Genomic DNA, 19,262 nt, shown 5'->3' with positions numbered 1-19,262 from the left:
GCATAGGGTAGGACCCCTCCAGAATGAGGTTCTTAACAGCCTCCTTTTAGGGGAGGTAGGTCAAATAATTATTTATGACCATGTTTCAGGGAAGAAAGGTGAGAGGAGATCAGAGAGTGACCTCCAAGGTGCCATATTTTGGATAACTGTGTTCTGAGCCATACAAAATGTGAGGCATGTGAATGATTTTCATCCTTCATGCCACAGCTTATTGTCACCCTCTTCTTTGAAGAGTCCCCAGACTTACCAAGATAAACTGGCACCTCCCCAGTGTTGTTTCTCAGACTCTGTTCCTCTCCTTTAAAGTGCTTATATAGTTACTATTTGCATAATAGTGTGTATAATTACTATTTGTAATTATGATTTTTCATGTAATATTCTCTCCCACTAGAATGGAAGCTACATGAGGAGAAAGAATGTCATTATATTCACCACTGTGTTGTCAGTGCCTAGCAAGTATTCACTAAAAAGGGGAAAAAAAACCCACTAATATCTATTTAAAAACTGAATGGTTGATTAAATACATTAATCATCCTCAGAAGTATCTGCCTTCATGTCAGCAGTAACTAAGAATTTGAATTTTTCCCTTACCCCAAATTATTCCTTTTGAAAACTCCAAGATACAATGATTAAAATTATAGTTGATTAGTTGATAAGCTCTATTGCCTAGGTCCTAACACAAGGCTTGTGTTAGGACAATAATTGATGAATAGTGATTCTAATTGGTTCTTCTGTTGATGTAAAAGGATAACTCTAGTTTAAAAGAAATTACTTAGTAAATATACTGCTGTTCATGGAAAAAACTAATTCCCCAATTTGTACCTACAAAGCCCTGACATCCACAATGCTGATTTCCTGATTGACTGGTAGTTTTTGCATTTTTAATTTCCTGTGTTAGTAAATAGGACTGCTTCAGGAACAAAGCACAGCTGATGCTCTCAAAGTTGTACTATCACTAATCCTCTTTGAATCACAGGAATAAAAAGAATCACAGGAATAAAAAGAAAATCAGGGATTTTAAAAAAAACCTGTGATTATAAATAGGTTGACTTCAGAGGTAAATGCGGGATTTGCGTGGCTGTTTTGGATCAAAGACAGTTTTGATGCTTTGATCTAAAATAAAAGGCAATATATTCTAAGAATCAGTTGCATAGATGGAGAAAAATGTCAGTATCAGATTTTTGATTTTTAGTGTTTATGAGACAGATTTTTTAGTTTAAAAAAAACTCAACAGGTATGAGAACATGAAACATGCTAATCAGATGGCCTTTTAAGTATAAATGATTCCTCTTTAGTATTCCTTTAGCATAAATCCCTATAGAAGTGGAAGAGCAATAGTTAGCTTTCATAATGCTTTTTAAATTCAGGTTTCCTAATCTTTCTTCAAAAGCATTTACATTCTCATGAGCAGAGTAGAGTATATATGTGCATATGTGTGTACATGCATACGTCTGTGTTCTAACCTTTGACATCACAGGCATAGTTTTGTCAATTTGATAGGCAAGACATTTGTACACTTAATGACATAGATGCAAACATTTTCCTTCTAATTTTATCTATTGACATTTTATACCTCCTTCTCAGGGATCTTTGGCTCAGTGTATTGACACACAATTGTAAATTGCCTAGGTTTTAAATGTGAGGGCTTGGAGATAAGCTTGCAATGCTTTTCCTTTCCTTTCATCTTCATTCTAGAGGAGGCTTGGAATATAGACCCTCCCCCGCACCCCCCCCACTTTTATTTTTGGAGAAGGAGTAGCAGAAAAAAGAGTGGGATAGTCATTCAACACATAGTTATTGAGGATGTGCTGAGCCACATAGTACAACGTAAAGGAAAAAAAAAGGAGACTAATGTCATTTCCCAGTGTGGTCACCAGGAAAAGACAGAATTTTTGCTGGAAAATATACCTGAGAAGCAGGTTACTTAGCCCCATTTTCGTTTCTGTTCTGAATGATTGATATTACAAATGACAATTATTACATGCCAGTTAAAAAGTGTGCAAGTAAAGAGAAAAAGGAAAGAAAGTACATTTTTCTTTTAAATCAGAGAAACTAGAACAAACTGAATCTGCTTTTGTGGGGATTTCTTTTCTAGCTCTTGCTTTTCTTCATAGAGCTCCTATGGAAATGCCATTAGATGGTTTGAAAATACTGAACAATCTGATCAAAGAAATTTTCTCTCCTGCCAGGGAACACTCACACTTTTTCTGTACAGGTACATTATAAATTTCTTTAGAATGACAGCCTACCAGCTAATGTAGCAGAAAAAGGGGAAGGTAGGTGTTTAAAACTGATTAGAAAAGAGAAGCATTTGACTTGTAGGAGAGAGATCAATCTCTTGTGCTTCGTGCTGCCAAAATCATTCTCTGTGTCTGGGCTGTTCTTGCTTGAGCTCAGAAAATTCTTCCCAGACCTTTTGGCAAAGTTGAGAAATCAAACAGAGAGAATTCATTCAATTCCTGATTGATAAATACTCTTAATTCTTGTATTTTTAAAATTATAATAAGCAACGGGTAATTTTCTTTCCACAAAGCTTTGTAGGTGCATCACGTTAAAAAACGATTTCATCAGTAATCACAAACACCTCTGTCATTTCTGCTTTCTTTCTCTATAAGGTAAAGGGATAATAATGTTAGAGCCTCATGTGTTCAGAATCCATTATCTATTTCTCCACCAAACAAACCAATAACATTTTTAGGATTTGTTGGTATTACCATTGCCATTCATTTTAACAAGGGAATTTGCATTTTGCTTTAGATCCATGCCCCATACAGCTCAGTATATTGCTTCTATTGCTGACTGTGGCCCCAAGAGATTTGTTATGTAATTGTGATTGTACTATCTGATCTCAATCATCAGTTACCACCTAGTCATAAATGTGTACTGGTCCTAATGCAGGGCTTGAACTGGGCACAGGTCTTAGAATCATCTGTGTAGTACACTGGGAGCTACTTGAGGACAGAATGGGTCTCACTCACCACTATCGCTCTACTACTGAGTATAAAACCCAAGCCTCAGTTAATTCTCAATTAAAAAATGTTTCCTGAAGTGACTAAATCTGTATCTATTTCCAATACCACCAAATGGCAATGTGTTTTAAATTTTTTACCCACAATGTGAAGTAGTATGTCCTTTATCATGCATCCTGATCTTTCAAGTCTCAAAGCATGACCCTTCTTGCTTTGGAAAATACATAGGAAATTTTTTGAAGGGGTATGGAAATTGTTTGTCTTATCCATATGGCTTGATGTAGCCATTACCTTCTCTCATCCCATCCCACGTTGGCACTTTAAAAATCTTGACTCTGGGTTGTGCCAGCATTTGGCCTTTTATCTACATGCCTCAGAGACCAATAATAAATCAGTGACTCATGGTTTCCTTTTTCAGAAAACCATATTGTCTTTCCCCTAGGAAGTTATTTTTGTTTTAGTATCTAATGATGCTGTCTTTTATTGGAGACTGGACAAGTAGAAGAGATACTTGCTTTTCTAAGGCTCCCTGGGTCCTCTCTTGACCCCTTCTAATGAACAGAATGACATTCACAATCTGCCAGTTTGCTGGAAATGGCTGTTTATAATGTTGGATCCAGCATCTTGGCCAACGGTCTCCCAATTTCATCCTTGAGTTCCTTCAAAACTCTTGGGTGGCTGCCACCTGGTCTTACTGATTAAACTACATTTATTTTGTCAGTTTGGCTTAGATGAGTTGGGGTTTTGCCTATTATTGGATTTTATATTTTCTGCCTATTTGTGCAGAACCCTGAGGGTGTAGATATCTCTCTAATGCCCTTCCCAGGTAAAGAATTCACTCATCTTGGCAGCCAGCCTGTTTCAGTATGGAACGCCAACCTTTGCTTCTCTGCCAGTCATCACAGAGGACTTCAGATTTGCTAAAAAATAACCAGAAAGAAAAATATGAAATTCTGCCTTTGTGTCCTTTTGTCATCTTTAATTTGATAAAGACCAGCAGTTGAAAAATATCCCAGAGAGAGGATTCTATTTACACACTAAATGTTTTCCATCTCAGCTTGAAACAAAACTGATTAGGGTCCCACAACACAAAGATTACATAAATTAAAATCTAAGAAAGGAAGAGACATAAGATTAAAGGAATAAAACAAGCCTGGAATGAACGTAAAAGAAAAATTTATGCCATAATAAGCATGCTGTGCCTGCTTCAGGTAGGCTAGAATTTGGTTTTACTATTTTTTAATGGATTCCAAGTATCTGCCTTTTTTGCCTTTTATTTTATTATTAACTCACGGCAACAAGGCCTTCTATTTTTAAGTTCTGGGATACATGTGCTAAGCATGCAGATTTGTTATATAGGTATACATGTGCTGTGGTGCTTTGCTGCACCTATCAACCCATCATCTAGGTTTTAAACCTTGCATGTGTTAGGTATTTGTTGTAATGCTCTCCCTCCCCTTGTTCCCCACCTGAGGACAGGCCCTGGTGTGTGATATTCCCCGCTCCCTGTGTCCATGGGTTCTCATTGTTTATCTCCCACTTATTAGTGAGAACCTGCAGCGTTGGTTTTCTGTTCCTGTGCAAGTTAAGGCCTTCTCTTTTATCGCTACTCTGATATGATAGTTGAGGCCCTTTTGAGTTCTTGGAATAAATCATTCTATTTGTTTTTCTTTGCAGAATTTTAGTTGTCATATTGGTTTCCAAGGAAGATATCTTAAAACATACCTGATAATTCTAATTAGGCTTTCTAGCTTTGTTGCTTCATGGGCAAAAGATTACAGGGAGTCAATTTTTTGCTGAATGTGTTGTTCCATAGTGATTCAAAGTGTTAATCCAAGTCCATGTGAATAAGTGTTCTAATTTTGTAAGTAGCTCAGAAGTTGAAAATAGATTTTATATAAACTTTTAGTAATTGTATTTAAACCCTAATTTGTTCAGAAATTGTTGGTGGCATATAATAAATAATGATTTGGGCAGAAAAATAAAAACTCTAAAATAGCAAGCTTATTTTTTAAGTAGGGATCCCAATGCCCACAGAAAAAATATCAGAAAATAAAAGTGGTACCCTGGTCTTGAATCTCCTGCTTCCAAGATGTGAAACTGCATATAATTCACAAGTACACACTCATGTGCATGTACCCTTGCACAGCAAACATACCTTTAGGTCATTATGATGCTGATTGAAAATCATAATTTAGAGGGTTTTGTTAATTGCAAAAGGAACTCAATGTCCTCCCTGGTAGTTCATTCTCTGGTAGGCTAGTTGGGAATTTGAAAGTTGTTTGCTTTACTTTAAAATTAAAATTATGAAGTATAAGATAGATAGATATAAAAACATGCATAAAATAAATGAACAGCTTGATTTATTATAATGTGAACAGGTCATTCTCACACAGATTAAAATAAAGAACATAACCAGAAACCCAGAGATCTTCACGTGTTTCTTTCTGATACTTTCTTGCTTGCTTTTATTAGTTTTGCTCTGTAGTTATACCAAATAATATAATTTACTTTAGTTTTTGAATTTTATACAAATAGAATCATATAGTATGTATTTTCTTGTGCTTGGATTTTTGTTGTTGCTCAAGCTTATGTCTTTAAGATTTATCCATTTTGTGGCACAATCTGATGATTATTTTCATTCTTTTATACTATTCTATGTGAATATATCACAATTTCCTTATTCATTCTATTGTTGACGGGCATTTATTTCAAGGCTTTTATAAAAATTTGCTATGAGTATTTTTGTGCACATATCTTTACTTCTTATCTCTAAGGTTCCATCCGGAATAATTTTCCTTCCTCTTGAAGACCACATTTAGGAATTTTCTTGTGGGTCAAATGGTAGCATATTGTTATATTTTGCTTCTTTAAAAATGTTTTTCATTTTTGCTGGTGTTAAGATTGTCAGTAATTTTCTTTCAATACTTTGGTGATATTTTTCTTTTTCTAATTAATTTTTTTTCTCTTTTTGCCTTTTGTTGTTGTGTTAAAATATCTGCTATTTAACTGTCATTCCTTTAATGATAAAATGACTTTTTTTCCTCTGGCTTCTTTTAAAATTTTCAAGCTTTAAAAATATTTCTACTATTTAACAAGGATGTTCCAAATATGAATTTTATTTAGTTTTTCTTGCATGAGCTTTACTGGGTTTCTTGAATCTGTAGATTGATACGTTTTGTAATTATTATCCCTGCTTTCATTTCTCTCTCCTTTTCTGGCATGTCAATTAAATACATATTAAGACTTCTTCCTTTCTTTTCTTCTTACTCTCTATTTTGTATGTTCCTTAATTTTGTTTTTCCATGTTTCATTGTGTACAGTTTCTTCTGACCTATCTTGAAATTCTTTCTCTTCAGCTGTATCTAATCTGCTGCGAAAGCCATCTCAAGTTATTTTGTCTTTCTAGCTTTATAATTTCTAATGGATTCTTTTTACCTACATACTGTCATCTCTAGGTTATTGGCGTTTTTAAGATTAGCTTTTATATACTTGAACACTGTAAGCATAGATTTACCATCTCTTCTGTTAACTTCAATATCTAGTTTCCCTTTGGTGTTATTACTATTTCTTGTGTCCATGATTCCTGGCTCTCCTATTGTCTAGAGAGGTACCTTATAATCTTTGGTGGTTTACTTAATATTTTATTTGAAAATTTACCCTTAGGAATAATTTGAGACCTGAATTGATCTTTCTTATAAAAATGGAATCTCTATTTTCATTTTTATGTGTATCTGAGGGAATTAGCAGTTCAGGACCAATGCTTGACATTTTTCTGGATCTTCAGGGTATAGCCTGTACCTCCACTTCATGGTGGAGACCTTTGGGTCCCAAACAAGAAAAGGGATTTCTTTCTTGGCCTTAATAACAATGAATACTTTTGAATTTTGTTTCCTGAAGTCTTTAGGATATCTGCTAGTGAGAAGTGATAATACTCCAGGTCTCCACACTTGGTGGACACAGGACCTCAATCTTTGTTCCCTCCCTTCTCACCATTCTGGTTCTTGTCTTGGCTGTCCTCCCTGAGTCTGAAAGTGTCCTGGAGTAGGAACGTCTCTAGCTTACCTCCCTGAGTTCCCTTTCCCTCATTGTACCTCCCAGTAGTTTATATCCCTGTCTTGTGGAGGTCTGCTAGGCTTTTCATTAGATGCAGTTTTTATATTTTGTTCCAGGATTCTTGGCTGTATTCAGTGGGAAGGTCTTTAATTCATCTATTCCTTTATTAGAATTGATATGTGCCACGTTCTGAATTTTTAATAATTAGCAGCTGTTCAATACTGCCACTGGAAATAAGCATTTGTTTATTCAGCCTTTCATTCAACCTGAAAATATGTAGAGACTACTGCGTATTCAGTGAATAAGACATGCTCCCTACCCTAAGTCAAAGGTTAGTAACATTTTAAGCAAACATATGCTATTATTTAGTTATGTAATGATTAAAAAGCAGGAGTTGGAGAATGTAAATAAAATGAGAACACTGCTGAAAAGGCTGGTCAAGAAACTTGTAGCAGAGGTGACATATCAGTTAACTGGTATTTTCTTTCCATATTTTAAAAGTATTATATGATCACACTGTCAGAGTCAAGCATAATTAAGAATGCGAAAATTAGTTGTAAAACACCAGCCAATATTAAATCATTTAAAATTTTCTTGAGATGCATATTAATATATATCTAGGCTGATAAGTATAGATTAATATATTTTGCTTATATAACCAGCATCTTGCTTTCTTTATCCACTTCTACCCCTTCTTATGATCTAAAAAACAGAGGCTCCTTGGGTTTAAAGAAGCTTGAGAATATTTCTTTAATCACGGCCATCATTACCACGAAAGCAGCTAATTCAGCACCTTCAGCCCAGCTCAGCAGTTTGCATTACATGAAAGTCCATATATGTTTTTAGAAGCTTTCCTCCTATAACAAAATTTGCAACACCTCCTCCCTCATCTCAGTCCCCATCCAGACACCTCTTACAACAGTGGTTACTGAGGTGATCAGTGACTGCCAGAAACATGGGAAGCTAAACCTGTCTTCTTCAATTAGGAGATATTGGTATTTGGAAATATCATCCAGCCATCTATTCTTGTTGTGGAATTTTGTCATCTTTTTGTGACACATGTTAACTATTCATCTATAGAGAAAGTTTCCAAGTGATACCAGACTTCCATATGAGCAAATTATCCCATTAGGTGTACCAAGTGAAACCTAATATTGTACAAAACCTGCATATCAACTACAGGAAATGTGGAATAGTCTAAAGTGAAAATAATTTGTAATAAAACATAGCATTAGTGTATAAACTGGAGGAGAAAAGTAGAGGAATTTTAATTAAGGGTCAGAAGACTGGATAAGGCAAGAAGATAACTTGATATTCCATTTCTGAAATAATCCCATTCATTGAATCAAACAGCTGTTGATTGTTTTGCCAAGTCCACCTTGCTGTAATCATTATAGCTTCAGAATATATTTCATCTAGTAGGGTAAGTCTATATTCACTCTTTTAAAAAATGACTTATTATCATCTATTTATTCTTCCAGTTTTCAAAAACTTAAGTTTAAAAAACTTCCACTGGGGATTTTTTCTAAGGTTTATATTAAACCTGTGAATTAATTTGAGAAGACTTAACATCTTTGTGTGATTTTAGCCTTCCAACCTAGTAATATTTATTCAGATCTTATTTCACACAAAGATTCTTTTTAACTTCTTATGATAAATTTCAAATATGTACAAAAGTAGAGATGAACTTCCACGAACCCATCACATGGTTTTAGTAGGGATCAGTTCATGACCAGTTTCATATCTACTGCTTCCTCCTCTGCCGTGTGTATAAAAAAAGAGAAAAAAAAGACACACATTATATCAGTTTACTTGTAAGTATTTCAGTTTCAATGGCTTTTCTTTTTTTCTTTATTATTATTATACTTTAAGTTTTAGGGTACATGTGCACAACGTGCAGGTTAGTTACATATGTATACATGTGCCATGCTGGTGTGCTGCACCCATTAACTCGTCATTTAGCATTAGGTATATCTCCTAATGCTATCCCTCCTCTCTCCCCGCCTCCCCACACCCAGCAGTCCCCAGAGTGTGATGTTCCCCTTCCTGTGTCCATGTGTTCTCATTGTTCAATTCCCACCTATGAGTGGGAACATGTGGTGTTTGGTTTTTTGTCTTTACGATAAGTTTACTGAGAATGATGATTTCCAATTTTCATCCATGTCCCTACAAAGGACATGAACTCATCATTTTTTATGGCTGCATAGTATTCCATGGTGTATATGTGCCACATTTTCTTAATCCAGTCTATCATTGTTGGACATTTGGGTTGGTTCCAAGTCTTTGCTATTGTGAATAGTGCCACAATAAACATACATGTGCATGTGTCTTTATAGCAGCATGATTTATAGTCCTTTGGGTATATACCCAGTAATGGGATGGCTGGGTCAAATGGTATTTCTAGTTCTAGATCCCTGAGGAATCGCCACACTGACTTCCACAATGGTTGAACTAGTTTACAGTCCCACCAACAGTGTAAAAGTGTTCCTATTTCTTCACATCCTCTCTAGCACCTGTTGTTTCCAATTTACAAGAAAAAAACAACCCCATCAATGGCTTTTCTAATAGAGGATCCTGCATGTTTTGCTAGGGTTATTTATACATTTTATATTTTATTTTTTAAACCTTCTAACTGCTAAGGCTGATGTAAGAAAAACTTTTGAAATATTTACTTATATTTAACTACTTCACCAGATTGCTAATTGGTTCTGAGAGATTTTAAGTTATTCTCTTGCATTTCCAAGAATATGATTTTATCAGTATAAATTGTCATTTTTTCATTCTAATATCTAGCTTCATATTGGTTACAATTATAATAGACTGATAGAATTTTCAAAAATATGTTCGGTAAACAGAAGACATTCTTGTCTTTGTGATTTTATTGAAGTTGCCCTAAGTTATACATTCTTTATAAATCTTGAGAAATTATCTAGTATTGAGTTTTACCACATACCTTTCTATTATCAAATAAGGTAATTCTATCAATTTACTCCTTAAACTAAATTTATGTTAACAGATTTTCTGTATTACTGATTAACCTCATTTTACTGCAGTAAACTATTTTAAATATATTAGTGGATGATTTTTGCCTCCATGTACATAATATAGATCTATTCTTTGTGTTTTTATCTTGGTTGGATAGTATTTTGAGTGCAGTTTTAAAACTTCTTTAAAAAAATAATTTCAATAACAGGCATCAGTTTTTAGAAATGTTCAGGAAATTTAATTATAAAACTCTTGCTCAGAAATTTTGGGGTAGATAATTCTGTGTTCAGTTTTTACATTTTCATTGAACTATTAATTTTCTGCTCTAGTTGAGTCCATTACAATATTTTCTCAAATATATTTTGCTAAGATTTTCAAAGATCTTAGCATAATATATGCCATGTCCTTATTTTTATCTCATTTTTATCTTGTATTCCTGCCTGAAATCTTAATTTTTAATTAAAATTTTTTCCAATTACTTTTCTTTCCATGAGGAATCACTTTTTGCATTTATTTTTCATGTCCTTATTAAATTTATGTAATTAATATTCATTTTCTCCTGATTTATGTTTTTGTTCTGTAAGAATGCTATTTTACATTTGAGGGCAGTTTTGGCTCAGCTCCTTAAGTTCCATTTTGGAGTGTGCTCATCTAAATTACTTTCCAATTAATCTGTAATAACCATGTTAGTTTACTCTGAGCAAAGGCTGAGTTTACTCTGAGCAAAGGCTGATTTATGAAAGTGATTTTAACCTCCCAAGTGCTTAAGATGTGTTATGAAATTCTGGTTCTTTTTATTGTACTCAATGATCAGAATGAAACCAGAGATAAAGAGTGACAAATTTTTACCTTTTACACTTCATAGTTATTCTTGGAAGGACATCTTATACAAAAAACCATTTTTAGTTCACACCCTCTTTCCCAAGTAGATAAACAGGCCTCAGAGTTGGGGAGGGAAGAGGACTCTCTGAAGAGAAAGCAATTCTTAAGTATAAGTGTAAACCCGGGGCACCAAGAAAGAATAGAACCTCCCTGTAAATGAAATGATAATAGGTTCTTTCCTCTCAGCTCGAATTCTAGGTGAAACTCAATGTGGGAAGCCTCCCCCTCAATCTCCCACGTCAATATGTTCAAGCAGAAACTAGAGATGGCCTTTTATCTAGGCATAAGAGTGCCTGGGATAGCCCCCTGTGTTCCTGCAGGCTTCAGAATGGCTGGTATGGAGGATCATCCAAAACTGACTGAACATGAACAAGACACAATGAAGCCTGGAAATAGGGGCATGAAGCAAGAAGCAGGCCTCAAGTGATCTGACATTCAGAGGCCATAGCAGATATTCAGGTATAAGCAGCAAGGTGGGAAGACCATCTTGGGATGAGCTAAGGGTGGAGCTCAACACACAACTGCAGTGACCAAATTGGACAAGGAAATTTCACACCTCAGTGTAGGGTTGCCAGATTCAGTAAATAAAAACACAGGAGGCTCAGTTAAATTTGATTTTCATTAAACAATATTTTAGTGTAAGTATATCTCAAATGTTACATAGGACATACTTATATTAATGGCTTTTATAAATTTATAATGTGCTTGAAATTCAAATTTAATGAGGTATTTTGTATTTTAACTGGCAACTCTTCTCAGCAGCATTTGAGAAATTCACAATAACATGAAATAGAGAACAAGGGGAGGCAGAAATTATTCTCAGGAAAAAAAAATCTTAATCAACCATGTTTTATTTCTGAATGGTCTGACTAGTCAATTTGAGTTTTTCTGAAAGTGACCAGACTAAATATTATGCATTAGAAGTAATGGTGGCTCCAAATCAGAAATGTTTTAAAGAAAAATAAAGTTCCCTTTTTGTACATCCAAAGTGATATAATTTTAAAACTTCTAACAATTATATTTGCTTTTAAGTTCTCACGACAGGTAAAATATGGCACCTCCACAGTATAATGTTTACATCTCTGCCCAAGAGACCAGCAAAGCTAAATTAGAATCTCTCAGTGTTAATTCCACATTTCTAGTCTTCTTAGCCTCTGGTCCAATTGGTAGGGCAGCGGGATGGAGCAAGGGTTCATTATGCCCATGTCTATGGATGAGAGGGGAAGTAAGGGGTCATTGTGAACTGGGCAAGGAGGCTAAATTGTGTCTACAATGAATATCTTCCATGTCTTGCTGTGGCAATTTACTAGCAGATTGCCGAATTTTAAATGTAGTCCAGAAACTAAAAAAACAAGAATTGTATCTTCCGTATCTCCAGTTCCATAGCAGTTATCACAGAAAGAAGTTCACCACTTCTCTTTTGTAAGGCTACTGTCTGTCTTCCCAGTACATTTCATTATGCCCTTGTCAAAGTAGCACATATGACTATTATATGTCCTTTTGATCTTACCTTGAAATAGTATTCTTCTGTTTTATTATCAGTCTTAGACAGCACCATAGTGCAGATTATACCCTCGACATCCAGTTCTAGAAATACTGGTGCATTCATTTATAGCACTGTCAGAATCTTTGTGCCATTTCAATATTCAACTTGCCAGAGAGGTAGTGAAATGCAATGAAATACATAGCTGTTTTCAGAGCTAGTGTGAACCAGAAATTTATATGTAATAAGGAAAAGATTGTTTTCTGCCTGTGAGGTAGCAACATCAAGCATTAGAGGATTAGCCACTGTAATAGATTTCATTTCCCAATTTTGAAAGATATAGGGCCCCTGCACTTAAAAAGTTCAATTGAAATCTAAAAGGAAAATCTCTAGGGAAGTAGAGTTCTTCAAATGTCTTCTTTGTTTAAAAAGCTTGTGATTGAGGAAATGACTTACCCATGATTGGTGGCAAGGTTAATTTCACAGAGCTGGAATCTTAAGTATATTCTAGAATCTGATATTGGATTTACAATATAACAATAAAATTAGTATGAACTCATGGAGTTTAACACTCCCTGTATGGGGATTTATTTTTCTCAATGCCTCTACAGCTTTAGACAATTTTGAGAAAGGTTGTCACTTACATTCAGGACATTTATCATAATTATTTAGAACCAAAAACAGACACGCATGCCAGGCTACACGAGACTATAGAGAAGACATATTGTCTCTCATCATTGTAATGGGTTCATGGATTTTGTAAGGCAGGGGAGAAAGAAAATGTCTACGGTTCATTTTAGGTCACTGGGGTATGGGCACTGTATGTCAGCCCATGCTGACTTTTTAGAGGGTATGCTGAGCAGTGATAGGCTTGGGGACTATATAAGTGATTGGATATGGGACAGGAATAGGTACTCTTCACCCTAAGATGCTATACAATACAGTTATCCCCTGATTTCTGACAAACACTGAACTGTCAGAAATTAGTATGTGGGCCAGGTGTGGTAGCTCATGCCTATAATCCCAGCACTTTGGGAGGCTGAGGCAGGTGGATTACCTGAGGTCAGGAGTTCAAGACCAGTCTGGCCAACGTGGTGAAATCCTGTCTCTACCAAAAACACAAAAAGTAGCCAGGGATGGTGGCATGCGCCTGTAGTCCCAGCTACTCGGGAGGCTGCAGCAGGAGAATTGCTTGAAACTGGGAGGCGGAGGTTGCAGTGAGCCAAGATAGCGCCAATGCACTCCAGCCTGGTGACAGAGCAAGACTGTCTCAAAAAAAAAAAAAAAAAAAAAAAAAAAAAAAAAAAAGAAAACAAATTAAGAATATATGGTCTTGGGGAGAGCAAAGTCAGATCTGGACAATGACATGTGCCAGGTGTCTGGGGCTAGGGAACGATGTGCTGGGAGATGAGGCTTGGAAGCAATTTCAGATCACATATGGAGGGATTTTAACATCACATTAAGAATGCATTTATTTTCCTACAGCCAAGTTGTTCCTTCTGTGTGGAAAACCAGAAACTCTTCTTTGCCCACTTGAGTCCTAAGTCCTACTGTTTCTCTCATGAAACAGTTGAGGCTCAAGCCTCAACTCTTCCAGGGGGCCTTTCTGCTTTTCCAGGATGCATTAGGGGTCTCCTCTCTAGCCAAGCATTTGTTCAGTACATATCGCAAATTCCTCTAATGGTGGAGCCATTAGCCTCTCATCTATACTGAAATAGAGGCTCCCTTACCTGTTCTCATGTCCAGTGCAGGCCTGGCAAGTTCAATAAACAGATAAAACAAGTGGATAAATATAGTAACCCATTAAATCCACATATCAAATCCCATGAGGTAGGGACTATTCCCCCTTCCCACTGTACAGACGAGGAACCTGAATACAGAAAGCATAAATAACATGCTCACGGCCATGAAGCTCATAAAGGATGGAACTGGGATTCAGTCAGTCATGCTTAGTCCGCAATCCATGCTTTTAACCACACAGCTTATGTGTGCCTAAAACAAGATGGCAGGTAATGGATCAACCCTGTTTCCCACCTAAAACTGAATTGTAAAGCCGTAACAGTGTACAGAAATAGAAAACATTGATTTAGAAAGATAAAACCTGATTGTTTAATCCCCTTTGGAACCTATACAAAATGAAGTAGTAATGCTGATGATTTTGCTAATTCTAACTCATTTCCACAGCCAGTCGGGTTAAACTGACCTATAAATCTCCACCTAACTCAATTCGGTCCCCAGACTCTTGCCTATAGGTTTTTCTCATTACACTTTCCCTCTTTCAGCCAAGGTTGTACAGAAATTCTGTAGATATAGTCACTCTCCCCCAGGATTTGCAGTCATGGTTGTTCTAAATACATCTGGTTCTCTTGTTCCCTTCGGGACACTTGCAATCTGTCAGACAACGGTTTTCTTGTTTGGTTTGGAAACCATAATTCTCATACCTGGAGACCTAGAATTGTGCCAGAGAATCGTAAATGTCATCACATAGCCCTCCTCCTAACCGACCAGAGAGAACTGTCTACTTTCCCTCCCTGCCTTCCTTTTTGTTCCTTTACTAGTAACTTCCACTTGCTGTTTGCAGTAAAACAGAAAATGAACACAAATTTAACCAGTTTTATCACAGAGTAAATTTTTTTTCTTCTTGGGGCATCGGGGGAACAATGAAAATTAGAAATTATAAGCCAGTATGGGTCTTGATTTTCAAATGCCATTCTCTATGGGAATTGTGTAAAATGTTTCTCAAATCCAGAAAGGCAAATAAACCATGGCCATTTTATCTCCCAGTTTAAGTATCTCTTTTAGTGGCTAAGTATTTACTGTGTAAAAGGGATTAAAAATTTGCCTTAATGAAAAAAATTTTTTTTTTTTTTTAAATGAGACAGAGTCTGGCTCTGTCACCCAGGCTGGAGTGCAGTGGCACAATCTCGGCTCATTGAAATCTCCGCCTCCCAGGTTCAAGTGATTCTCCTGCCTCAGTCTTCCAAGTAGCTGGGATTACAGGTGCCCACCACCATGCCCAGCTAATTTTTATATTTTTAGTAGAGGCAGGATTTCACTATCTTGGCCAGGCTGATCTTGAACTCTTATTCTTTTTTTTAATCAAGAATAATGTCTCTGGTTTTGCAGCCTTCATATAAATGTTTAACTTTTTCTGCCTCTACAAATTTGGAAATGACTATCTTATGGAATGTCTCTTCACTGGAATGTCTTAAAGCATGGGGTCTAAAAATTATGGCCCTTGGGTTAAACCTGGCCTGTCACCTGTTCTTATAAAGTTTTAGTAGAACACAGGCATGCTCATTTAAATATCCTCTATGGCAGCTTTCATGCTACAACCATAGAGTTCAGTGGTTGTGATAGAGATCATATGGCTTGCAAACCTGAAAGTATTTACTACCTGGCCCTATACAGATAAGATTCTATCTATCCTATATAGGATATATAAGGTGTACTCACTTGCTCATCCTTGTTTTAGAACATCCAGAGATGTGGGTTTGCTTTACCAGTCTTTAAGGCTATAGTTTGAACTGGGAAATTCTGGGATTAACTATGATTTCTCAGTGGGTAAATGAACCTATGGACCTTGAAACCCAGCAAGATTTGTGTTCAAATTATTCCTCTGCTTGGGACTGCCTTGTGTGACTTTGACAAGTCATTTAACCTTTCTGAACCTTGATGCTTTTATCTGTATAATGAAGACACCTTCTGTTTTGAAAAACTAATATAACATTAAATGAGATAATGTTCAAACGTGTGCAGTGCATTGTTAATCAAGTAGTAAGCACACGATAAATGTAATTTCCTTTTTCCTTGTTATGTCTATGTTGAGGAGTAACCCACATGCTAATGCACAGGCTCTTTCTGCCTGAACAAATAGCCATTAGTATAGTGGAAACGTTTTTTGTCATTTCAGCGCATTTCTGCATTTTATCATAAGTCCTTGAAAAAATGCTATTGTCCACTACATCTTTTGTTCTATCCAAAGATTCTGCCAAGTACTTCTTAAATGTTTAACTGCTATTTAAGGATAGTTTTAAATAGGACTGCTCATGATTATAGTAATGTCAGTAATATCCCACAAATCTTCAATGGGATTTATACAAAGACGACCAGGGAACTCGTGTTTCAGAACTTGCATTCCTGCATAGCATTTTCCTGTCTGTGAAATCAATCTCCTACCTATACTCCAGGCCTCAGAGGCCAGACCTCTCAAGAATGCTCAAACTCCAAGAAATGTAGGCCACAGGCCTTACTGCTACAGGTAAAATTGAAATGTAAAATTCTATTTGAGAAGGAACCATGCCTTTGTTGACAGCATCACAATAAGCTGGGGACATAGATTGATTTTGTTAAGTATTGTGCTCTTGGTGAAGATTTGCTCTTCCAGCCTCATTCCAAAGCAGAACACTCACTCTGTGTCTGTTTTGTCCAGTTTGAAAGAGAACATTTCTATATGTCTGCCTATTTTGGAGAGATGCAATTAATCCATCTAGACTGAAGAAATATGTCCTGTGTTAATAAATATATTTTTTCCAGGCATTTACTTAATCATGCCACAAATAATCCAAATATCTCCAGGAGGTGGGCTGCAGTGCAATATTATTATCCTCAATTTGCAGATGAATGAAAATGTTATATGATGAAGCAAGGTGATGTAGTTGACAGTTACATAGCAAATACCTGAAGTTCAGAAGGAGCAAATGACTACTGAATGCCTTTGCTATACTATGCATCAGTTCCCAGATATGCCAAAAATTTGTCAAATTCTGTAATCTCTTCTGTTTCCCTTCTCATGTGCCTTCTCATGGAGTGTGTGTGCAGTCACTCCAGGCTTCCTCACTGCATTTTCTCTTGGCTTTGAACCTCATTTCTTCTGTTCCACATTCTCCCCTTTTTATTTCCCCTTCCTTCTCTTCTTCCCCGATCTACCCTACCTCCCTCACTTCTATCTCTCTTCTCTCCTTCCTCCTGTCCTCCTCCCAATCCTACCATATTGTAGGCTACCTAAAATCCCTTTCTCAACAAAGTAGGGCCTCAAATGGATCCCAGAAACTCAGAGTTAGCAATAATATGAGAAGAGGAAGGATCACAGTTCTTCCTATCAGAGCCAAGTGAGCAAAGTTCCCCTATCTGTTGATACTAGCTTCTGAACACAAGTTTTTCTTCTTCCATATCACAGTAACATAGTGATACAGTTTGCCTCTATCCCCACCCAAATCTCATTTTGAATTGTAGCTCCCACAATTCCTTTGTGTTGTGGGAGGACCCAGTGGGAAGTAGTTGAATCATGGGGGCAGGTCTTTCCCATGCTATTCTTATAATAGGGAGTAGGTCTTACAAGATCTGATGGTTTTAGAAAGGGGAGTTTCCCTGCACAAGTTCTCTTGTCTGTTGCCATGAGCAATGTGCCTTTCACCTTCCACCATGATTATGAGGGCTTCCCAGCCACGTGGAACTGTGAGTCCATTAAACTTCTTTTGTAAATTGCCCAGTCTCTGGTATATCTATGAGCAGCATGAAAACAGACTAATATACATAGCAAAGCAAAAGGTTGAATAGGTTAGGGTTCTTGGTTTTGTTTGTACATAACCCATAGACTTAGGTTTTATAGTTTGGAGCTTCTTTTTTTCCTTCCACTGATTAAGACTTCAGCATGGACCACATGTAACCCACATTCTCTTTGGGTTGCACGGAATAAAGCCATTCTTCACTTGTATTCACACAAATAAAACTCTTATAATGGGTACTAGTAGCAAAAAAGTAAGTCAGATAATCACCCTGGTTTATGTTATCAGAAAAACTCAACACTTCAGACTTCTGTAGTCCCAACATGAATGTAATGTTGACTTAAACTTCTAGATCAGGATTTTTCAATGTGAGATCAAGACCCATCAGAACAGTGGTTTCCAATCCTGGCTGCACCTTAGCATCACTGGGAAACATTTTAAACAATAACACTGCCCTTACTTCACACTGAAAATTCTGGTTTTTTGGCCTTGAGTAGGAACCCTGCAATGTTATTTTGGGGGGAAAAAAAACCATATGATTCTAATGTTATCCAGGGTTAACAATCACTGTACCAATTGTTCTTGAGTTACACAGTCAATTGTAAGTCATGCCAGCTTTTTATTTTTTTCCTTTAAATTAACAGAACAGAATAGACTGAAATAGAAAAAATCAGTATGCACTCCATGTGGTAATAATGTGTACTATTCCATGAAATTTTTCTTTCAGTTTCATGTGTGGTAGGGCGGATACTGTGTCACTATTTAAAAATAATTTCTTACTGTGAATTCTAGTCAGAGTTTGAAAAACACTGTTTTAGATTATCTTTAATAGAGAAGGTGTGTGGATTGTTGCCTAGGGAAAATCGAAAAATCTCCATCTGTCCTAAGAGAGAAGACCGATTGTACTATTTTTAAATGCTTGTAGGGCATGCAGAGGTATTGCCAAGTGATCTCTGCACTATCAAATGTTTCTTAACTATTTATAGAGGCACTTACACATTCTCTAAGAAACTGAGTCCAACTTTCCTCTCTTGTAGGCAGCGTTATGGTTTAAAATTATTAAGTTGCATTTCTAAAAATATCTTAGTTCAGTCTCCTCATTTTCTAAGCAGCTCATTCTAACCCTTAGTTAGGGGTATTTAAGGAAGATTTACACTCTGGGAGAAAATATCTCAGATCTTGTACTAAAGTATGCTAGCAGTTCTCTGAAAATCCCTAACGGGTCTGCAGCCCTGAAACTTAAAGCTTTCTAGAATCTTCCAAGAGGGTTTCTGGAAGGGGAAGGGGAGTCTTGATCTCAACACTAAGTGTTCAGAATATTTCAGAAGTCAGTGGTTTTTTACAGATGATAAACTGATCCAGTGCCTGTGAGCTCTTAGC

General features: G+C 36.4%; 1 protein-coding gene across 3 annotated transcripts in view, besides 1 other annotated feature; it reads left to right on the top strand.

The window, feature by feature from the left end:
- The window catches only part of GADL1 (glutamate decarboxylase like 1), a 168,465-nt gene that overhangs the window by 64,448 nt on the left and 84,755 nt on the right, over positions 1–19,262 (top strand). The gene's annotated exons all lie outside the window — the stretch shown is intronic.
- Positions 12,731–12,900: an enhancer, noted in NCBI's record as "experimental_69439 CRE fragment used in MPRA reporter constructs". NCBI's record gives its function as "activates a minimal promoter by MPRAs in K562 erythroleukemia cells, with activity observed for both the introgressed and non-introgressed 3:30858891 variant alleles {active_cell/tissue: K562}" and the evidence as "EXISTENCE:reporter gene assay evidence [ECO:0000049][PMID:34662402]".

Source organism: Homo sapiens, chromosome 3 (genome assembly GCF_000001405.40).
Source record: "Homo sapiens chromosome 3, GRCh38.p14 Primary Assembly".
Taxonomy (NCBI): Eukaryota; Metazoa; Chordata; class Mammalia; order Primates; family Hominidae; genus Homo; species Homo sapiens.
This window is presented reverse-complemented; position numbering and strand designations above follow the sequence as displayed.